Here is a 24,832-nt window from a genome sequence, read left to right as displayed (position 1 = left end):
GTGATTTTGAGTGATGGCAGAGAGCAAAGTCTCATTCCATCGCTCCTAGTCTCCTCTTCCCCACCTTTGTTGGAAAAGTGGTGGTAAATTCTTTCCTTTCTCTGGGATGGCTGGAGATTGTAGAAACTCTCAAGCAGCACTTAAGTACTGGTTCCTCATAGAAAAGAAACCTTGTTTCCCCTTGGTAACAAGAAAATCTGGCCCTGCACTGTCTTTGGTGTTATATGGTGGACTCTGAGGGAGGCAATGATTAACAATTACAATTGGCACCTAATATTCTTTAACCATCAAATACCACTCCTTACTTTGTTTAAACAAAGCTACTAGAGATAGTGAGTCTTCTAGAGATAGTGAGTCAGAAATCAACTAAGAGCTACATAACATTTTTTTTTGTCACTTTTGGCTAATTAGTTGGAATTTCTAACTTAAGTTTGTTTATTTACTTATTTCTTTCTACTTACCTTTCCTCCATTCTATCTTCTCCTCATCTTCCCTCTAGCTTAAATCACTATCTTCTATTTACTCCTTTTTAATTTCTTAACCAACATCTTCATTCCCTGCCCTGCAGCTTTTTCTCTCCTTGACTACTTTCCTCCTAATTTCCTCTTGGTGCATATGTTTTTCCTTATAAATCAAAAACAGCAATAAGATATCAATTAAGAGGGCCACTTAAATGTGTACTTATTTATGTAAGTAAATCCTTGCTACTCAAAGTGTGGTCTTGGATGACCAGCATTATCACCTGGAAGCTTGTTAGAACTACAGAATGTCAGAACTTGCACCTGGTCTGCTGAGTCAGAATGTTCATTTGATTACAGTGTCCAGGTGATTCTTATGTGCATTAAGGCTTGAGATGTGCTGGCCTAGACAATATGCCCTAGGCACGCTGGAGCTCCCACTATGTTTGATTTTTTTTTTTTTTTTTTTTAGCCCATATCTTTAGGACCTAGCACCAAGATTGGTACACTGAGGTTGGTCAATAGGTACAAAATTACAGTTAGACAGTTTAGTCAATTCTCACATTGCTAATAAATAAATATCCAAGACTGGGTAATTTATAAAGAAAAGAGGCTTGACTCACAATTCCATATGGCTGGGTAGGCCTCAGGAAACTTACAATAATGGTGGAAAGCACCTCTTCACAGGGTGGCAGGAAAGAGAATGAGTGCCCAGCAAAGGGGAAGCCCCTTATGAAACCATCAGCTCTCTTGAGAAGTCACTCACTATCACAAGAACAGGACGGAGGAAACTCCCTCCATGAATCAATTATCTCTATCTGGTCCCTCTCATGATACTTGAGGGTTATGAGAACTACAATTCAAGATGAGATTTGGGTTGGGACACAGCTAAATCCTATCAGACAAAAAGGATAAATTCTGGTGTCTATGACACAATAGGCTGACTATAGAAAGTTACAATGTATTGTATATTTCAAGATACATACAAGAAAAAAATTTTCAATGTTATCACCAGAAAGAAATGAAAAAAATGTTAAAGTGATGAATATGGTAATTACCTTGATTTGATCATTATATAATCTATACGTGCTGTACCCCATAAATATATAGGATTATTATGTGTCAATTATAAACACAAAATAATAAAGAGTGAATAAGATTTTTTAAAAAGAATATAACTTCCAAGAAAAACCTGATACATTGAGGTATATATAATTTATTTATTGAATGGATAAATTAATGAGAAAATTAATGTAGGAGTTGAGAAAATTTTGGTTTGTATTCACGTATCTGCTGTCAGAATTTTTAAAACACTGAATTTCAAAATTAGTACATAAGAGGAGTCATATATAAAGAGAATTTAAACCTTTACAAGAAAATACAGAACTAAGAAGAGTGATACAGTGAAATGTTCTAAAGATTAGGGATCAGAAAATCTGGGTTCCTATTAATTACTATAAATGTAATATTAGACAACCATCACTATTTTCACTGTTCAGTGAGGTCAATAATAATAGGCCTATTAACAGCAGAGTGATTTTCTCATTTATCAGATGAGAACATAGTAAAGAAAAGCACAAACTGTAAAACAAAACTCATAATGAGTGATGCTAAAGGACATCTTGTTTGAGTTCATCGTCATAGGTAAAACTTAAAATTGGCACTGCATTTTCTAACAGCCATGGCTAAAAGGAAAGCCTGTTGACTAGAGACACAAATTATTATTGTCTGATATGAATAAGAAGATGAACTTTCCCCAAATTTATCAAACATATGTAAAGTTGACACTAAATAACTGGATAAAACTGACACTGAATAATATGTTACACAATGTGATATAAAAAACAAAGCAATATCACTCAGATAGGAGTGTCTACAAAATCTGAGTATGTAAAATTAGATATAAATGTAGTGAAGATATATATGTCTTCAGAAAACTAAGGTAATATGGTAAAGATATATTATTTAATGATAATCTATATTCCTAAAAGTAGGGATGATATTTTTCCCAAAGAAAAAGGATGGAGGAATTGACTGGCTGGTACAATGCATTTTATAATTCAATCGATTTTTTATTCTCCACTGGTAGATAATTTACAGAAAGCTTTAAATCACCTTCTTGACCTCCTTGAATGCTAACTCTTTTATGACAAAATAGACTTTTCTGGAACAGAAAAAAAATATCTTATTTTTCTACATGTTCACAATGAATGGCCTTAAGACTTTATCCTTCTACTCTCACAGAGGATATGTATTCCCTTAACTCAAACAGCAAATAGCAAACAGCTAAGTTCATGATAGACAGCCAAGTCTAGGGCACTAGAATGATGTTTTTAAAATTACTACTAAAACGAATAACCACTTATAGTTTAGGAATAGTAACATTGCTTATCTAATATTTGCTACACACATTTTCTCCAGTAATTTTGCTTAATACCTTATTCATGATTTTGATCTATGAAATTTTATAATTTGTATAAAACTAATTAAATTGTGATTTTTGTTTATTGATTTTAAATGCAAAATTTATGTTATATGTAGAAATATGATTTATATGTTGTTCTAATTATGATGTTTAAAATTTAACTTAAAACTACACATGAAATATGAAATATAAGTTGTGATGAGAGGTACAGCTCTTTATTTCTAATTATGTCACTCCTCACACAGAAATTATTTTATCTACAAGTAAAAATTTTAAAAAATGGAAATGATGACAATATCTAAAATTTTAAATGTTTTAAATGTTTTCACCCATTTTCTGAAACAAAGATTGTAAACGATTTTTCATATATCAGTCTAACAAAGATTTTTAAAATGTTTACTAGTCAGTAAAAAGTTACATTGATGTTGGCACTCTCGTAAAATGCATTTGGAAATGTAAACTGATAACAGCTTTTCCAAAAATCAAGTTAATGATGTCTTCCAAAGCCTTACAAATTAAATTAAATCACTGTACATCTGAATGATTATTCAACATGTGACGAAGAGGAATCTGAAGCAATGGGACCAGTAAGCACACAGACAAATACTTTCCATGATCTTAAGATAAGACTATTCACAATAGCAAAGACTTGGAACCAACCCAAATGTTCATCAATGATAGACTGGATTAAGAAAATGTGGCATATATACACCACGCAATACTATGCAGCCATAAAAAAGGATGAGTTCCTGTCCTTTGTAGGGACATGGATGAAGCTGGAAACCATCATTCTGAGTAAACTATCGCAAGGACAGAAAACCAAACTCCGCATGTTCTCACTCATACGTGGGAATTGAACAATGAGATCACTTGGACACAGGGTGGGGAACATCACACACCAGGGCCTGTCGTGGGGTGGGGGAGGTGGGAGAGATAGCATTAGGAGATATACCTAATGTAAATGATGAGTTAATGGGTGCAGCACACCAACATGGCACATGTATACATATGTAACAAACCTGCACGTTGTGCACATGTACCCTAGAACTTAAAGTATAATAATAACAAAAAAGATAAGACAGAATTTGAGACCACCCTATTGTTAGGTTCGTAATAAAGAACATTCAAGGGGAAAAGCCAAGATATGCTGAATTTAAATGATGAAGGATCATGACATCATGTTAAGAATTTGCATGGAATCTTATAGTCCAAGAAGGACCCTTGGAGTTTGTTAGCATGTTGGTCTGCTTTTTGTTTGTTTGTTTGAGTTTTGTTGTTATTGTTATAAACAGAAGAGAAACATACTGAGAAGTACAGAAACATGAGCATATTCACACTTGGAAAGACCATAATAATAAACAGATAAATAAAATATATGAAAGAGAAGGCACCCTAAGTGAGGAAGATATTAGAGGAGGAAAAAAGTGATGACATTCAGATCATAGCAGAAAGTAAGATGATAACACCTAGTGTCGATGGTATGATTCATATTAATGTGAAATGTTATCATTGTTATCTGTCTTTGACATGAAATGGACATTAGCAAATGGTCGGTAGATCTATCCTTCTATAGATTTCCAAAATATGGCTAGAGTTTTTGATTTAAAGTACTTGTTATTTTTCAACTATCATACTTATCTGTAAATAAGACATAGGTTAAAAATGTACTCCAAAGCCAAACACAAATACACTTGTCAGTGCCTATTGTTTCAAGTTATATGTAATTATAACTTTCATCTTTCTTATAATTGTTCTTCACTTCTTCATTCAGTGCTTTATCAGAAAGTTCAGATACAAATATAAAGAGCAAGTTTCGACTTTTGAGGTGATCACACTCTAATGAAGGAAATAAATTGATACACTAACGGTGTCCAAATTGCTTTATTAAAGGTACTCACAGAACTAGGCACTGATAATGAGGCAAAAGGAGGACATAAGCTCTCATTATTATTATGTGTAGCTTTACTAACTTATTAAAGATGTCAATCCCTATACAAGTAACAAAATATGCCAGAGTTTAATATATAGTAGAATACAGATAAGAGTAAGTACTTTTACACCAGAGCAGTGGAAACAATTTTGCCTGGGAAATTATGTAAAGCATTGAAATGGATATTAATCATTGATTTTTAAGAACAAATATGACTTTTTCAGGTTTAGGGCTAGGGTGTCTGAGGAAAAGAGGCAGTTTCAGGTAGAGACATCAGCATAAATAAAGGAATACAGATAAACAAAGACATAGGTAGTCTGATAATATTTGAATCTAAGATATGCAATAGGATGTATAAAACAAAAATTCTGGGTAGGGGAGGGAATAGTTATGAAAGACCCAATTAGGAATCTTGACTGAAACTACTGAAGATGTTTGGTTAGGTTCATAACATGATTAAACGTACATTTTAAACAACAAAACACCATCTCTGAAACAGAGAATTGATAAAGTTGACAGTCCCTGTGGCAAGCAACTGGTTAGAGCAGTGTCTTTTAATATCTTTTCACAAAGATGATTAGTAATAGAATAGATTTTATATCATGGTTTACTCCTTGTATTATTTCCCTGGCTACTACACATGCACACAAATATGGAAGTCTTCAACAAATTTTCTTAAAATTATGTTCAAGGAACACTGTCATTTTCTGTTATAATCCGCTCTATCCTTTTTTATTCTTTCAAAATTGGTTATCAATGAGCACACAATTAATTCATGATCTACCAATGAGTCTAGTTAATTGTTTGAAAAATAATAAGGACATTATTACAATACTAGTTCAAAGAAACATGGTGGTACCTCAGCTGAGAATGTATCAATAAGAACATACAAGAGGAAATATATTCAGGGGAAATTCTGAGAGGAATTTTTAGGGCTTTGTAATGAATCAGATACAGAGGATAAGAACATTATGGGGATCAGGCATTACAGCTAGGTCAAAGTATGAATCTGTTAAAATAGAGCTTGAGAATGATCCCCTTAGAATAAGTATGGTGTAATAAATGTGAAATTGCCTTGGCCTACCTTATGATATCAGAAATTGAAACTCATTTTTGTACACTCATGATATTTTTCCCAATGCTTGATTGGTATTAGAATGCCTACATCTTTTGAGCATCAAACCAACTGTCTTTCTGGGACTCAGTATTGAATAAATAATATATACTAAGTTAAAAATCATTTTCAACCTTGGGTTATACTTTCAAAAAGGTATTTCTAAGAATGACAAGTGAATATGGTATTAAGTTTTTTTGTTTATTTAAGCAAGAAAGTTAAATGTCAAAGCGACATTTCTGTGGCAATTTGATGGTATAATCACTAAGAGTTAGATATTTTTCCTACAACCCCTCTAATGTACCCATTGTACATACCTTATTAACAGCATAAATTGCAAAGGGAACAATTATAGTTTTTCTACCTTAGTTTTCTATCATGGGTGATTACAGTATCAGCCATAATAAATGTTGTTTCGTTCTTTTTAGTGCACAACATAATTTTTAAGGACTTAAGTACTATGCTGAATCAGTTCTTTCTTCTGTTAAACAGTAGTAACTGCTCAGCAACCACAGACCAATGGAGTAGTCAGTTTCCCTGATGATTTTGGCAAGAATGTGTCAGGATACATACATCTTGAGAATTCTCACTTGGTTCTCCAATCTCTAATTTTAAATATCCCAATTACAAACTTGTACTCAAAGTTTTATTTCGCAATACACAGGGCATTTTTCAACAACTCATATTTTTTCCCTGCATTCCTCAGGCAAATAAAAATTACACTTCTTTTTAATTACAAAGGCAGAATTTTGAGGGTATACCTAGTATCGATTCTATGTGCAATTTTAAGAAACATATTTATGATTCAAATATCTATTAGTTGACTACCATAAATATATCCACATTCACTTTTGTGAAAAAAGGAAAACAATCACATGCTAATTCTTAATGGTCTGTGATAAATGGTGAAATTAATATGTCATATTTAAATTATCTTGACAATTCATGTAGTGTAACAGCAAGTTCCTAACAATGCTCATGAAGTTTAATGACGTATTTTTCACATCTATGTGTATGTTTATTTAGCCCAGGTATTAAAAAAAAGTTTGAGTGTAGAATCAGATGTAGACTGCTTGGTTTTGAACCCCAGCTCTAGCACTTACAAATCAATGACCTTGGGCTGGTCACCCATCCTCTGTGTTTGTGCTTCAGTTTACTCATCTGTAAAGTACATATGATTGTAGTACTACTTCATTGTGTTGTTATGAGGCTTAAATGTTAAGTTTATGTATATGTGTGTGTAAACATATATATAATATGTATTTGTGTGTGTGTGTGTGTGTGTGTGTGTGTGTGTGAAATTTAGAAGAGGTCCTGGCATTCTTGAAGTCCTTTACAAGTGTTAAAATAAACAAAGATGTCTTTGTAACATTTCATTGAAGTAAATTTTTCACATAGTCATTATTTTTACTTATACAAACATCTTTTAGTTTACTCTTTGAAAGAAAATATGTGTGTTATATGTGAAGGAAAAATGTGATCATTAAATTAAACAATTAATCAAGATATAGCACTTTTAACTTCAAATATTTCCATTCATTTTGGCAAATATTTTACATATCTTATTTCTCCTATATTTTGGGCTTTGACTGATAGGCCCTGGAAACATAAAGAGAAAATAGATATGTTTAAGGAATCCATAGTCTGGTAGAAGAAACTAACATAACTATGTAATTAATCCACAGTGTGATAAATTCATTGAGAGACAGACACTATGTTAACATTGTGTCAATGAATACAAGACAGCACTTAGTAAAACCAGTGTTAAAATGACATAATCTAAGGTTTGGTTCTTAATTCTGAAGGCACTGAGAATTACTATTGGCCAGGCCCATGTGTCCTCAAGCTTAAGGGGCAAGCTTATGCTTTCTAAAGCAGACTGACATTCCAGAACACTACATTTTAAATTTCATTCACAGGAAGTCTCATCAAACAGAATTCTCATAATTAGTAAATGTGCATGGATGATTGGAGGAGTATGAGACTAAAGATTGTAAGACCATTTAAATTATAAAAAAAATCTAAGCAAGGCGTAACTAAAATTGGACAGTGGCAAGAAGAGTAAATAGGAAGGGTCACATTTTGGTGGTAAAAGGAGTATATATGAGGCAGAATTTGATGACCAAGAAGATATGGGGAATACAATAGGGAGTGTGAGAAGTCTCTGAGATGCTTGTATTTTGGTGACACTAGAAGTAATAGTGACATAGTATTAGAAAATAAAGAAAAAAACAAGAAGTTTATGGAAGAGAAAAGAGAACACTACAGGTAATGGTTTTCAATTTGAACATGCTGATTTGAAATATCATTGGGATAGTCACTGAGGAGTTCAGTAACTGATTGAAACTCAGGTAGGAGTTAGAGTTGAAGATAAAGATTTCCTTAACCATGCTAACTGAAGAGTTAGAGTAGTTGATCTCCTGCAAGAAGTGAGGTGTGAATTGAGAGAGAATATGTCTAGTAACAAAAATCTAGAAAATGCCAACAAGGAAAAATTAATAATACGGAGTGATCAATTGGACTATTTTTTTGCCTTTTTAAAAAACTATTCAGTATCTGACAATTTCTTGTTATTTAAGGCTAATCTTTAAAAATGTAGAAAGGGGCCCTGTTGTCCACTACAGAAGCAAAAATTGATCAATATTTTCATTTCTCTCTGCCTAGCAGCAAAGGGACAGAAATGTGGTCAAAACTAGTTTAACCACATTTTCCTAATTATGACTTTGGCTAGTGAAATATGGGGTAAGAAAACTGGGTAAACTGGAAGTTCAGAGTTCCCTGATAGTGAGAAATGCTGAGGTATCCCTGACAGGGACATAACCATTGTTCGGGGACTATGATTTTTTTAGTGATTTCTGTGGTCCAGCCAGCTTTCCAATAAATCACTTTTTCTAAGTTAAGCCAGAGTCGGTTTCTGGGAGTTAGGTATGGACAAGATAAGAACAGAAACAAAGGAAATAGACTTCACTGAAATTTAAGAAACACTATGCAAATGTCACAAGTAGTCAAATTAAATAATAAACATTATAATAATTGGTTGTTTTGTGGGATACAATTTTGAAAATATAGTATTCAGTTATGTGTATGTTATGTCTCACTGATATTGCTATGTGCTTTGTACTGAATTTAATAAATGAGAGAACTTTACAAAATGATTACCGGACACCTACTATGAGATACTTTGGCAGTGGGAATAAGTAATGAACGAGACAAGATACCTCCCCGCATTAGTAGAACCTGAAGTTTGTTGCCATTTCAGAATTTGCTGTTGGCTTTTTTTTTTTTTTTTTTTTTTTTTTTTTGAGCCGGAGTCTTGCTCTGTCACCCAGGCTGGAGTCCAGTGGCGTAATCTCGGCTCACTGCAAGCTCCAACTCCCAGGTTCACGCCATTCTCCTGCCTCAGCCTCCCAAGTGGCTGGGACTGCAGGCGCCCGCCACCATGCCCAGCTAATTTTTTTGTGTTTTTAGTAGAGGCGGGGTTTCACCATGTTAGCCAGGATAGTCTCGATCTCCTGACCTCGTGATCCAGCCACCTCGGCCTCCCAAAGTGCTGGGATTACAGGCGTGAGCCACCGCACCCGGCCCGCTTTTATAAATATATTGTGAAGTCCCAGATAAAGAACAGCAGTTAACGCTTTACCCTCCGTATTACTTATTACAAGCAACTATACATTGACAACCAGATGCTGTTAGAATTTCTTTTTAATTGATAAAAGTATTTACAAATTGTTGTCTTTATGATGTCTTATCATTTTAATTTATTCATTTTTTGGTTCCTTTTACAATATGCTCTATTTTTTATCCTTTCTTGAAAAAACAAGTGCTAACTTGTAATTAGTCATACCATTCAAGTCTCCAAGGAGAAAGCTGATAAATGTGAAGTTTTAGTTTGATTTAAAATGTGGATTCACAAGTAAGCACTCTGACTAAAAGCACCTTTCCTGATTTTACAGATTCTTTTCTGTTGATATGCTGAAGTGAATAAAGACAGTGTAAGACAGAGCCGTCCTTACCACTTGTCCGTAGCTGAAGTCCTGGGATAACTCTCTAATTTTATGTCTTATTTTAATCCATTGCTTTATATCAGAAAAGATAATTGTATTTTAGATTACATTTAAATAAATTAAAGATATTAATAGCATTTTAGCGACCTCATAATATTTTGAGATAATGCTTTCAGTATCCTCTTATTATTTATTTCAAGACTTGAGTTCCAATGCTAAAGAAGATTTTTTTATTTCAGCAATAACATTTGTTTATGTGTAGTTGTTCATACTGGGTACATTTCTTATATGATATAAATCTTTTGAAGAGAAAGAAGATAAAAATTTACACATTTCAATATATTTATTTTAAAATTAAACTCCATGAGTGGATTTTACTTCTCATTTTCACCTAGAACAACTTTTTATTTTAGGGAAGAGAATATGGGCCACTGGTTTTATTGTAAAGAGTCTTGATTTGAATTCATGTGTTCTGAATTTTAGTACTGTACTTTTAAATGGCATCTCAGAAGTGGGTCATTTTTCTTCTTTCTTCCTTGCTTCCTTCTTCCCTCCCTCCTTTAGTGTGTGTGCATCTACTATTAATTACCTAACTTTTTCCCACACTTCCATCATAGGAAATCTCAGAATCAACCTTTTATTTTCCTTCACATTCTTTCCTATGTCTGTTTTCTTTGGTGGCTTTTCAGAGGAGCACAACCTTCTGTATATTCCTACCTGGGAGTGACTTTCTGCATGCTGGGATTATCCACCCAAGACCCTACCTTTGGGGAGGAGGATTTACAGAAGACTGAGAAAAGATGAAACCTTCACTTTAGCCAATCAGACTTTCAGACCAAACATGAGGTTCAACAAGGTGATAGAAGTCACAGCCATATCACTTGCACATATGCAACTGAACTTTTGACCAAGTTCTTTGTATTTATTTTTTGCTTCCTTTCCATTCTTAGGGATTAAGTGGTACATAATATTTAAGAGCATGAGCTTAAAATCTGCCTCTATTACTTAAAACTATGTACTCTTGGACAAATTTCTTGCAACTCAGTTTCCTTATCATTGGAAAACAGCAATAGTGACTGTCTCATTGGCTTATTGTGAGAATCACATATATTACATGCAAAGCACAGAGAATGCTCCCTGGCACATAACAAATGTTCAATAAAAGGTATTCGGCCAGGTGCGGTGGCTCATGCCTGTAATCCCAGCTACTTGGGAGGCAGAGGCGGGTGGATCACCTGAAGACAGGAGTTTAAGACGAGCATGACAAACATAGTGAAACCCCGTCTCTACTAAAAATACAAAAAAAAAATGGCTGGGGTGGTGGGGGGCGCCTGTAATCCCAGCTACTTAGGAGGCTGAGGCAGGAGAATCAGTTGAACCCAGGAGGCGGAGATAGGAGGGAGCCGATATCCCGCCACTGCACTCCAGCCAGGGCGACAGTGTGAGACTCCATCTCAAAATAAATAAAGAAATAAAGAAATAAATATTTTAAAAATTTAAGTATTCTTCTTAGAGCAACAATAAAATATTTTTCTTATCTTCTATGTGAATTATGTTATTATGAAATTGTAACTGGGAGGCCTTATTCTCCTGAACAGTTGAGTCATATTCCTCTTTTTAAGTACAATTGACCATGTCTATGAGTTTTAAAGTTTCCACACTGCCTATGGAGTCAAATTTGTTTCATCTAATATTTAAAATATTTGCAATCTGGCCCCATCAGTCATTCAAGTCTCAATTCCTAGGGGATCAAAAGTAAATTTCAGCCACAATGGCTTACTAAATGTGTTATAAATAAAGTTTGGGCTTCCTTACGCTGTTGCTCAGAGATCTTATTTGACATGCCTTTAACTTACCTGCATGCATTTCAAAAGATTTATTATCATAATAGATTGTAAAAGGAAAGAGCATGTAAAAGGAATTAGCATAATCTAATATGTTTTATCCACCCAGGGCAAGGAATTTTGAGAGGCATTCCAAATATTTTGTTTCATTTAATTTTCCCAGTACAGTTCCCATCAGTGTTAGCCTGATTTATAGAAAAATTTGAATCTCTGAAATATTTTTATTTGTCACTTATACTTCAATAAAGGAAGAAGTAAAAAAAGAGTTATAAGCTTGGACAAGTTAAGTAACTTGATTGATGTGAACTCCATTGCCCACATGGTTACTGATGATCAAATAGCTAAGAATAGAAATGAAGCTAAATATCTTTTATTTCTTAAAGTTTAAGCCAAATTTGGATAAATATGAGGTATATATTTAACATTTTTATTTAAATTAAACAATATATTTTTCCTTGGCACGCTTCCCCTTTTTCTCCCCTCCCAAATCTAAGCTATTCTCTAGAATTTGTGCAGTTATAGCAAATTTGACCGATGATTCCATTTTTCTTTTCACAGAAGTATCGGAATGACACAGTCTAACATATTTCTTGGTATGCAGATCTTTGTTTGCTAGAAGGAGTTTGATTATATTTTCATTCTGTGAATTTCTCTAGAAATTATGACACTGTTCTTCCCACCCTTGCCAGTAATGTTAACGAACCTGGGTTTGTGAAAAATTTCCTCTTCTGTTTAGTCATTTCATTATTTTCATGATGTGTGTTGTTTGTATTTCTATCAAGTTGAGAATTTCAACAATTGGTATTGTTAAAAGCATAAAATGTGGTGTGTGTGTGTGTGTATGTGTGTATTTTGTGTGCCTATTCATCATACTGAACATGCAAATGTTTAATGTGATATTTCAACTTTATTTCTTATATTTTGTTTACTACATTATGGTATACCACATGAAAGTCCATTTTAATCCTATGGTTAATATTTCAAAAGTCTTATCAATTAGTTATTTAATACTTTCTAGTATCATTTTGAAATCCTGTCTATCAAGAGATCTGAGGTATAGATATTATATTTATGTTTTAGATGTTTAAAACCTTTTGTTTAATAACTGCTCAAAATTTGGGAAAGGTCATGGCTGAATGGCCTTGAATAACATACCTGAGTCTTAGGAATCTGAGATGAAAAGCTAGGGATAAATGATAGAACACTCTTTGTTCTATAGGAAGGTTTGTGTGCAGGATGAATTTATAGACATTTATCACATTTCTGAATGAACTCATATGTATAATAGTGTCAGTTAAAACTCCTGTCCTGGAATGATTCCAAACTAGATGGTGCTTTTCATTTATAACCTATATGCCCTTGGACATGTTTCTCAACCACTTTAACCTTAGTTTCTCATCTAAAAGTGAAGTTGATACTACTTTTTACCTCAAAGCAAAATGAATGGTTTCAGGTCTATGTGGAGCCCACAACCTTCATGACAGGAAAGTCAAAGAGACTGGCAGGTCGCATGTGCCAACTTTCCACAGAAATTTTGAGAAAGTAATCAGAAAGTCTAAGAAAAGACAGCTAACAGATTTTTTTTGTTCTATTTGCTCCTCAAGCTGAGAAACAAGATGGGAGCAAACGGGATCAATAAGCTTCCTTTAGGGGCAGAAAAGAGAAGACATTGGTTCCTATTTCACAGTGGATTGACAAAGGTGTTTCCGTAGGTAATAATGTTTTGGCTGAGAGATGTCAGTTAGCACAGGAAGCAACACAGTGGGATTGGCCAAAAAAGAAAAAGGATGATAATTATGTATTTGGAATTTGTCTGAATATTAACAAAGGTGGGGAAAATTTGGTCTATAATACACCTAGAATTGTTTTCTTCTTATTTAATCTGTTGGGTGTGTGAAAGGATGTAAGTGACAACCTCCAATTATTACAGAACACCATGTTTTACACCGTATTTACTCCAGTTTTGGATGATGAGTTCTATACCTAGCACAGATACATACAATACGTTGTAGAATTAAAAAATGTAGAATTAAAAAATTGGATAGATTATGTCATTGTTAAATAACATAAATAACTAAATAGCTAGAAAAAAAGTCTGAGCTTCTAGAGTAGTGTTTGCAAAACAAACTCTCAATAAATGCCTGTTAATAAATGCAAGTGGGATCTCCTAGTTGCATACATTGTTGAAGTATCATTTAACTGCAGAGAATAATGGCCAATCCAAGAGAGATTTTTTGCTAGGGAATTCTGTAATCTTGAGGTGCTCACACATGAAATAAACATTTATTCCCTATGAATTCTAAAATAAATATTTTATATAACTTTTAAATTAACATGAAAGTACCTTCAATTTTGCATGTAGGGATGAGAAGCCATCATATGCAGTGTGAAATCATGGAAGAAAATTCAGAGGCTTAGAATACAGTGGAGTTAGCTGCATTCCTGTAGGTGTTTAATCAATATTGGAGAATAAACACAAATAAATTGAGAACTGGGAAGTTTAGAGTAAATAAAGAGTATTGTTAATACAGCTAATTCTGTGTATATGTTTTCAACATGTCAAATATAAAATGGGCACAAATATTTAAATTGGCTAAAGATAATGTTGTTTGACTCTATTAAATGTTTATATGCACTCAACAATTTTGACTCACCAAAGTCCATCATTTTAAAACTGGCTACTCCTCTATTTTATGAGATTAAGAGTAATATGAGTATCATGTATTACTCATAAATGCTTGAGACACATTCTGGCTAATTTTGAATATTATAACCTCTAAGGAATTTTTTATAAAGAAAAATGAAAATTGTGATGGCAAATATATTCATAATCCTGCTCAATCAGCAGTTTTGCTGCTAGTAATGTTTGGATGCTCACAACAAGTCTACTGAATTGCTGGAGTGCAACACAGCTCGTTGGTTATTTTTGATTTTTTAATGCTTTCTTTTAAATAAGTGGCATTCAGCTAATTATATGACTAAAAATCTGACTCAACCACAGAGTTGTTAATTTACCAGCAACATGTGGACATTGTATTACTCTATTTTCCAGGGAAAATGTATATATATTCTTCCCCAGGAAAATGAACAAGCTGGACTCCTAAAACCACAAAGCGTTGTATTTTATGAAGTGTCTTCTGTCTTGTTATTTCCTGTACCTCAGTTACTATCCTTGACAAAGTCTGATTGTGCTCTGCTCAGATCCTCAAGACTCTGCATGTGGATTTGTTACTCTTTGATCTCCAATTGCTCCTTTAGTTAGCACCATACTCATTTAGCATTCATTAATTAAATCAAATATGTTGGTTTGTTTCCTAAATTAATCTGTTCTCCATAAATATTCTTATTCCATTAGCTTCTTTTTGCTTTCAAAGTGGAAAGCATTTATCTTTCAGCCTTCAGCTTTAATTGATGAGCATCTTACCACCTTTTGAGAAATTCATGACCAGAAAATCAAGAGTGGGTATTGGCAAATACGGATAGGGGGTGGGATGTTTAAAGATGTGGCAAGAAAAAGTATACAGTAATTGAGTGATTTTTTTCCTGAAGGGATAATTCAGCAGAATATATCATTTTTATTCTATTTAATTGGGTTGGTTTTTACTAGTTTTACTATTATAGTGAAAATAAAGTACAAATATTGTTTTCTCTACAATTGGAATCCTCTAAAAAGAAATTACTGAGGGTTTGTTTTAGTGGAAAAATATGTCCAAAGCCACTTCCCCAACAGGAACATGTTAACTGTAATGTTACATGTATTCTCCCTATTTTACCTAAAGAAGTGTCAGTAATAATGATGTCCAGAATATACTTTTCCCCATAGTATCCAAATTCATGTGATAACTAGCTTCATTAGGAGTTTAGATTACTTTTAATATTTGTGTAGAGCACATCTTAGGACTTTAAAATGATCAAGTCCTTGATCTTCCTTGAGTTCCACAAGAAGGTGTTCACTTTGACAAGTATTCGCATGCAGCAAATCTTTTTCTGGGTAGTCCTGTTTGTAATATTCTTACCATAATGAGAATGAATAATATCTAATAATAATTAGTGGTATGAATCATGAGTAGAAACAAATACATACTCTGTCATATAATATAGTGGATGTAATTAAAGATACCCAAATTGAAAAGATAATAATCTTTATACTTTCTAAATAATATTATTGTGTTAATATTTTTCCCTCAGTAGCTAACCCTAAATAACAGAGAATTTGAGATGAAATATATTTGTTGTTGTAGCTAAATATTGTCGGAGATCTAGGAAGTAACAAGATATATTAATTAAGAGAGATAAGGAACGATATATAAGACAGTATTTTTAGTATCAGAACACATACTTTACTTTTTAATTAAAATGTTTAATAATTCAATTAATGTGACAAAATACACAAGGAAGAGAAATGTAAGGAACTTTCATAATGTAGCCAAACATGCAAAAATGCAGAAAAAGAAAATCCCTTCCCTTGAAAGGCTGATAAAAGTATTAAAAATAGTTTCATATTTTCATGAAGGGTTTGATTGAATCGATTCAAACAACTTTTTCCCAATACAGTAAACTCTTGTTTATCAAAATCTAACTTTTCTTTTATCAACTAAAACCTACCTTTTTAAAAGCAAGTTAAAAATAGTTTTTTTAAAAAAAAAAATGAAGCTATTTTTAAAATCAGGTATAAAAAGGTCTATGTGACCGATCAAAGAAGCATCAGAAATTGGTTAAAGGCCAAATTCAAGGTGCTTTTCAAAGCTTTCTTCTAATATAAGAATGTTATATTAGATTATATAAATATAAATAACAGGTTATATAAACAACATCAGGCCCAAGCTCTTTTCAAAACCTTATGGCTCTAGTGGAGAAAACAGTACGGCATATTCTGTTCTTTCCCTACATATGCATTCCCCAGGGATGCATACGTCCGAAAAGGGAAAACAGATATTTTGAGGATGTCCTAAAATAACAGGAAGGCTGATATTTGATCTTATAGTAAGAGCTTTTCTATATTACTTAAAACCCCAGAAAGTCATATTAAATATGACATCTCCACTTTTCTTATTTTTCTTCCCCATTTAGACCTATAGAAAGCAATTGTAAATATGTTTGTGTAAAACACTATAAGGAATTGCACTTTTCCCCTAACCTCAGTGTGTAAGTAAAGCCAACTTTATTTCCTTACACTTACAAAGTTGTTGAAATGACTTAAGCTTTACAAGTGGTGCAGATTAGAATGTCAAGTCCAATGTGTTTTATTCACTTGTAGAGCAGCATGTGGTTTAAATTGACTACTGAATGGCCAAAGAACCCTTGTGAATTTACCATCATAAATTCTCTGATTACAAATTCAAATTGTGTGGTTTTATGAGATAATAGCAAAGGATATTCTTAGACAACAGGTTGAATTCATACAAGAGGCATTTTGAGCCCTGTACTGGGACTGTATATTTTTATTGCAGGCAGTATTCCTGCACGTGCGGAGACTTATTGAAAATGTAATCTTACCAAGTAGATGATCTTTTGGTTTTCTTTTCACATGGTTAAAAAAATGCTTATTTCCCATTCTTCTTTTCATGAACACCATTTTACCAGTGAATATTTCTTTTTTTTTCATTTGTCCCATTAATTTTTTCCTCTTCAGGTGTAATCTAGCTCCTGTGGTGGAGTTTGCTGCAGATGTGGGAACTAAATCAGATTTTATTACCATGAATCCATCAGTTGTACAAAGAGCATTTGGAGGCTTTCGAAATGAGAGTGACAGAGAAAAATTTGTGCATAGACTTTCCATGCTGAATGACAGTGTCCTTTGGATTCCTGCTTTCATGGTCAAAGGAGGAGAGAAGCACGTGGAGTGGGTTAATGCATTAATCCTTAAGAATAAACTGAAAGTGCGAACTGCCTATCCGTCATTGAGACTTATTCATGCTGTCAGAGGGTAAGTGACTGGAAAGGACCAGTTTGTCCTTGGCACAGTGGAACACATATAACTAAACATTTTCACTAGACAAGAATAAGCTTCAGTAAAATCTCCAAATGGATATATGTTTCCGTTATTTTATAATGGTTACTCTATTTACAAACTTGAAGTTTGTTTATGTACGATATGATTTTAACTCACCCTCTTTTTTGAAAAAGCAAATTGTTGAACCTGGCACTTATTTATGTGTGTTCATGAACAAACTACTAATTTTTATATTTTTGCACTAAAAAGTAATAAGAATTCATAGTAAAATTAATGAGCTTTGGGTAGGGAAACTACAACAGAAGTGCTGAATGGCTAGTGGGCAATATTGTGTAAGCATAAATGTTAGATATATTTAAGGAGCAATTAAGTCCCATCTGTAGCCAAGAGGCCTAGTAGTGAGAAAGGAGGCTGGCTGCGATAAAATGCCTTAATGCTTCCCCCCAAAGTCACAGATGCTGTTTTAATGAATTAAGCCAACATTTCCCTTTTATTAACACAAGTTCAGAAAAAAGCATTAAAATATAAACTCTTGCTTAAAAGTGGCAAATGACCAAAAGGCCAAATTCACTCATGCACACATATAAGTATGTAAAGTAGATAAACCACAGATGAGAAATTATGTATTTTTACTGGAAGTGTACTGAGTGTCAGATACTGTAGCTTCAAAAATGAAGAGCTGATCACTACCTTTAAAAAATGCATAGGCTTTATGGTACAGACAGAGGCATATACAATTCACTAGTGGCCTAATAGGGGAATATGTTGTCAGAGGTGTATAATTTGTCCCTCAGGTTCACAAAGACACTTGGAAAGTGGACCAAACATTTGAACTGGACTTTAAAAACAGAATAGCAATTGCCAGAGGGATAAAATAAAGAGAATAAGAAAACCAAACAGAAGGAAATGCTGTTGCATTATTAGAGGGTACCAGGTCAAGCAAATGATGAAGTGCACAGTAAACGTATGGAATAATGGAGTCTGTTGTGGAACATGGGAATACAAAGTTGGAAAAGTAACTTGGGATGTGGTTGAGAAGGGAATTGAGTTTATGCTCTATGAAGCACAGTTAGATGTCTGAATTTAAGAAGAAATCTTGTAACTGCAGACATTTATTTGACAGGGACAAGAAAAATGCCAGAGGCACAAAAACCAATTAGGCTTTTGATTAATTTACTCATAAGATAATAAGGATGTAAGACAGAAGCAGTGGACTTGGAAAGGAAGGGCAAGTTCAGGGGGCCAATTAAATACAATGGATACAAGTCCTGAAAAAAACAGGTTTCCAAGCCCAGACTTAAAAATAGTTTCTTATACTGTAATAGGAACTGGGCTAAGGTATTTTTGTTTTGTTCCTGAGATAATTTCCTGCAAGGATTTACCATTTCCTGTTTAAATCTCTAGATAGTTTCTTGTATTGTATTATTTTGCACACAATTAAATTACATTCTTTTTTTGTTTTTTGTGTTTTGTTTTGTTTTGTTTTGTTTTTTGAGACAGAGTCTCACTCTGTTGCCCAGGCCGGAGTGCAGTGGTGCGATCTCGGCTCACTACAAGCTCTGCCTCCTGGGTTCACGCCGTTCTCCTGCCTCAGCCTCCCAAGTAGCTGGGACTACAGGTGCCCGCCACCACACCTGGCTAATTTTTTGTATTTTTAGTAGAGATGGGGTTTCACCGTCTTAGCCAGGATGGTCTCGATCTCCTGACTTCGTGATCCACCCACCTCGGCCTCCCAAAGTGCTGGAATTACATGCATGAGCCACCGTGCCTGGCCTAAATTGCATTCTTATAATTAGATCATGTTTACTCAACACACATTCTCTTGGTGGTTGACAGGAAGTTTCAACAAAATAAGATAAAAATACTGCATTTGGAGAGTAAGTCACCGCCTTTTTTTTTTAAGTTACAAATATCCCTGGTAATTACAATTTGACTCTTAAAAAAATGTGCATCTTAAGAAACTGTAACATTACAGTGCATTGTGTTAAGAACATGTCTGTTTTTGTTTGGGTATCATGTTACTCTGAAAAACACCTTAAAAAGATAATGTTTCCATCTTAAACATACACACACACACACACACACACACATACACACACACAAACACATTCCAGTGATAGCAGATTAAGTTTTAGAAAGAAATAATCTGAAGTAAGTCCTCCCTGACTATGGAAAACTAATGAGAAAACTTAAGATTACTCTGAATTAGTACCTTTGTTTCCTAGATTTTGGTTTATATTTCTCAATCCAATACCAAAACCAAAGCATGAAATAAGAGGAGTGACTGCAGTAGTGCATTTTCAGTAAGTTAGAATCCAGATAGTGTTATATATGATTAACAGTGAATACACATGGGTTTTTACAGATATTTTAAACATAAACTTTGCAGATTCTTTTAGTAATTTAACAAGACTCCTATCTTTTGTCCTATTCACTTTTATAACCATTATAAATATAAACTACTTCACTAATTCCTAACCATTTTATTCCAAAGAGCAACAAGGCCAAACTTCTGACCACTGGTGAAAGGAATGGTATGCTTTTTTTGGTTACTATGAATTAGGCATATTTTCTAAACTGATTTTGAATTCTGTAGAAATAACTTCTCTCTCCACCTTCCTGTTCACAAATCTACATATACCCTCTTAAAGTGTCAAGGTATTGAGTTCTAAACTGTGGCCAAGAATAATGAAAGTAGCTCTAGAGAGGCTTGTGACTTTTCAAATAGAATGGAAATTTGTACACATGGTGTACGTGTGAAAGGCAACTTCATTTATGGATTTTATTGAAACTAATACATTGATGTATGTAAGATAGCGTTTTGACCTAATGTGTGTACTTGCTGCTGGAACTGTAAATGAAAATAAGGAAGTGTGAGCGCTGATGAAACAAAAATGATTTTTGTGATATGAAAGCAAAGGCAAACTCCCCAAAGAACTATTCTTTAAGTAACTGTTTTACATCTCCTTTGACTTACCTCTCTGAAACCCTGTGGTTAATACAGTTCAGCAAAATAAGAAGTTTCATATCCTCTGTTGATTACTGGAGTTGGTTGCCTCTCATGAGCAATTAAAGCACCCAAGACACAGAATTTAGGGTGTGTATAATCATAATGTTAAAATGTGAAGGCTCTTCCAAGTACTGCAATTAAAATAAAAAGTTTCAGTGATTTGTAAAACAAGATTCCTGAACACAGTGAGGATCATTTAGATAGTTTTCATATGGTCAGACATCATTACTTAAACATTTTGCCCTCCAAAAACTGTGATTCCTTACTAACTTTAAAAACCTATTTAATTTTAGATTTTTCTAAAAGCTCTAAAGATGAAACCATCAGTCACAAAATTCAGATACTCTTAGGTATTGTTGTAATATATTGTCATTCTTTTGAAACCATATTCAGTAAAACAGAAGGAAAAGATATATAGGTAGATTCATAATTTAAAAAGAATCTTGAAAAATAGTAAGAGAGTAATCTAATGGGGACAAATCAGATATATAAATTGCAAGTTTAAGAGAATGTATGAAAGCATAAAATTGGTGTGGGATTGCCACTTTTTTACTGGTATTTCTTCAGAAGCCCCACACATGGGCTGCATTTTTCAAATTAACATTTTGTATTTTTTTTTTTTAATAAAGAATGGAGCAATTTTGGGCCCAGTGCAGTGGCTCATGCCTGTGATCCCAACACTTTGGGAGGCCAAGGTGCGTGGATTACCTGAGGTCAGGAGTTTGAGACGAGCCTGGCCAACATGGCGAAACCCCGCCTCTACTAAAAATACGAAAAAGAGCCAGATGTGGTGGCACACACCTGTAGTCCCCGCTACTTGGCAGGCTGAGGCAGGAGAATCACTTGAACCCAGGGAGGGAGAGGTTGCAGTGAGCCGAGCTCATGCTACTGCACTCCAGCCTGGATGACACAGTGATACTCCGTCTCAAAAAAAAAAAAAAAAAAAAAAAAGAAGAGTGGAGCAAATAAGATAGTAAGCATGAAGAGGGGATTTGGGGACTTCAAAGTCATTTAAAAATTTGGCTACAAAATGTAAAATAAAAGCTTCTTATTTATACAGTTCTAAGAAAATTATTAATATACAACTTAATATCTTAATAACCTGTTTAAATTAATGACAGTTTTATATAATATTTTAAATTATTATCTAAGACATAGCTCAAATACATTTTTATAAAATACTTAGAGTTAGGTAAAAATTCTTATTTTACAGTTACTTTAATTTGACTAGTAATAACCAAGTGTTGTTTTTACTTTGGTGGGATGATTATACTTAATTTTCTTACTTTTAATATGGGAAAAAAACAAACATTACAGAAAGTGTATCCTCAGTTTCAATATCAAACTATGACGAGAATTTCTTAAGAATCCTTCCAAAAAACCTATAGATAGACAGATAGATAGAGAAGCATATTTTAAAATTATGTTTTATATGCACAAACCTAAATATGTTTTTATTGTAGTAGCTCTACAACTCGAATCATATGTACTCTTTTGCACTTTATTTTTTAAATTAACATGACATTTTCTCAACAACACATAAATACAGCTTGTTTTTTTTAATAGGAAAGTATATTCCATTATATACTTTTCTATAATGTATTTAACCAATCTTGTTTGATGGACATTTGTAGTACTTCTCATTTGTTCTTGTTGTATATAATTTTATTTTGTTATTAAAAATATTTTAAATTATAGGAAAAATGAGAGGTAGGGAAAGGAAAGTAAATATACAATTCTGGTTAGCTGATTTTATAAACTAATAGTATATTTTAAAATATAAAATTAATGTAAAGCTTACAATAGGCCGGGCATGGTGGCTTATGCCTGTAATCCCATCACTTTGGGAGGCCGAGGCGGGTGGATCACTTGAGATCAGGAGTTTGAGACCAGCCTGGCCAACATGGGGAAACCCCGTCTCTAATAAAAAATACAAAAATTAGCCAGGCATGGTGGCGCATGCCTGTAATCCCAGCTACTAGGGAAGCTGAGGCAGAAGAATCGCTTAAGCCCAGGGGGCAGAGGTTGCAATGAGTTGAGATCATGCCACTGCACTCCACCCTGGGCAACAGCATGAGATTCCATCTCAAAAAAAAAAAAAAAAAAAAAAAGTATGGTTACAATAATAATTCTGAACAAATAATTATATATAAACTAGTCTTATATTACCTTTTCAAATACAATATCCTGAAGTAACAACAGTTAATATTTACTCTTATTCATCTATCCTTTTTGTCTGTTTATACATATATATACACACACATGTTATATATATATATATACACATCTACACAATATGGATTCATTTAGAATGTGTTTTTTTCCCACAGAAAAGGGAATTTTAATAAACACAGAGGTATGGATGGGTTTAAACCTACTGAATACTGTATAATATGTTCCCTTCTGAAAATATTATCTGTATTCAGATATTTTAATTTTAAACATTAAGCTTTTGATCTGTTGATATTTGAGTCTGGGAAAAAATGTTAAAATATTTACGTTTTAATTCTTTGGCCCCTGCTAATTATTATGAACTATTATTAAAAGATTTAAACCCAAAATGAGATATTTAACTCAATTATCGTATAAATTTTTATGGCCCCTTAGTTTTTTTTTTAATTTTTACTTTTTTAAATTCTACTATAACAAAAGTAATATATATGTACCATTTTGTCACTACATTATAAGTAGTAATTTGTTTTAATATAATGGAGGTTATGCTCTCATTAAATTAATAAGCTTCTACTTTGTATTAATCAAGATAAACACTTGGAATGAGTACTCACAGATGACATTGATAAATGTATATAATATTCTGTGATGTCACCATCATAGTAAATAATTCTAAAGTTATTTACCATTTTTAAACTTACATCTTTCTCAAAAAATTTTTAAAGATATTTCATATAGATTTTTAAAATTTTGATTCCATGTGTAGTAATATGGTGCAAAAGTAGTTGTGGGTTTTGCCATTGAAAGTAATGGCAAAAACTATGATTCCTTTTGCACCAGCCTAATAGTTTTTGTTTTTGTTATTTATCTTTCAGTGGAGAATACATAAGATACCTGTATACTTAAAAAAATATAGTCTTTTGTAGTGATTGCAAAGGACGAATATGTGTAAGATAAATGGGCTACATAAACTGCCTTAGATTTGCCTGGAATTAAGAATTTTTGTTTTTATTAGAAATACTTGGTAAACATCTCATGCCCTACAACAGTGTTTTTTTGTTTGTTTTTTGTTTATTTTTGTTTTTTGGGTTTCTTTTTTGAGACAGAGTCTCGCTCTGACGCACAGGCTGGAGTGCGGTGGTGCAATATCGGCTCACTGCAACCTCCGCCTTCTGAGTTCGAGCGATTGATTCTTCTGCCTCAGCCTCCCCAGTAGCTGCGACTACAGGAATGAGGCGCCACGCCCGGCTAATTTTTTTTTTTTTCTCTATTTTTGGAAGGGATGGGGTTTCACCATGTTGGCCAGGCTGCTCTCGAACTGCAACCTCAGGTGATCCATCCGCCTTAGCCTCCCAAAGTGCGGGGATTACAGGCGTGAGCCACCGCGCTCAGCCAGCAGTGTTTCTTAAATTCAAGCTCACATATGTATTTTGCAGGTTCTGCGAAAATTTTCTTGATTTTAAAGAGGATTTGAACAATTCTAACTAAGAACACTGACGTAGAGAATTTTGAAGAATTACGCAGAAATTTGATTTCCAAGGAAGACGAAAACAAACCTTTCCTATTCTGACTTTAGACAAGACTGTTTAAATCCTTGAGTGTCAGATTTATAACCATTAAAATATACGTACCAATGTATATAATCGTATAGATTCCTTTGGGCTCTAAGAATCACTGGTTCTGAACTTTGTCCTTACACATGGGAATATTCAAACTGTCACAAAAAAACTCTTGTCCTTAATTAAACATCCTCAGGAATGTATTCTCTGTAACTTCCTAAACAGGTTCATTAAATTTTTGGTAATTATGATAATAAAGATAGCTTTCTAAAGTATTTCTTCTTTAAAGTCATTTTCTCTTGATATTTATTCTTTACATGTTTCAACACCACAGTTAAGTTAACCCAACATCATCTAAATGTT

The 24,832-nt window shown here is 33.5% G+C and overlaps 1 protein-coding gene across 3 annotated transcripts in view, besides 2 other annotated features; it reads left to right on the top strand.

Moving 5' to 3' along the window:
• ST8SIA4 (ST8 alpha-N-acetyl-neuraminide alpha-2,8-sialyltransferase 4) overlaps positions 1-24,832 on the top strand; it is a 96,350-nt gene that overhangs the window by 29,479 nt on the left and 42,039 nt on the right. The window contains exons 4-5 of one of the 3 annotated variants that reach the window (XM_005272078.4): positions 17,408-17,701; positions 24,347-24,744. The exons of 1 other annotated variant lie outside the window; for it this stretch is intronic. In XM_005272078.4, coding sequence (XP_005272135.1) covers positions 17,408-17,701; positions 24,347-24,398 — 346 coding nt within the window. In that variant the 3' untranslated portion in view covers positions 24,399-24,744. Of the gene's footprint in view, positions 1-17,407; positions 17,702-24,346; positions 24,745-24,832 lie in introns of those variants that run through there. One more of the 3 variants, NM_005668.6, reaches the window with a different exon arrangement.
• Positions 1,121-1,350: an enhancer, noted in NCBI's record as "active region_22849". NCBI's record gives its function as "activates an Ori minimal core promoter by ATAC-STARR-seq in GM12878 lymphoblastoid cells {active_cell/tissue: GM12878}" and the evidence as "EXISTENCE:reporter gene assay evidence [ECO:0000049][PMID:35858748]".
• Positions 20,339-20,458: an enhancer, noted in NCBI's record as "active region_22848". NCBI's record gives its function as "activates an Ori minimal core promoter by ATAC-STARR-seq in GM12878 lymphoblastoid cells {active_cell/tissue: GM12878}" and the evidence as "EXISTENCE:reporter gene assay evidence [ECO:0000049][PMID:35858748]".

The sequence above is a fragment of the Homo sapiens genome, chromosome 5 (genome assembly GCF_000001405.40).
Source record: "Homo sapiens chromosome 5, GRCh38.p14 Primary Assembly".
NCBI lineage: Eukaryota > Metazoa > Chordata > Mammalia > Primates > Hominidae > Homo > Homo sapiens.
The sequence above is the reverse complement of the archived record's forward strand: the minus strand, read 5'-3'. Positions and strand labels throughout refer to the sequence as shown.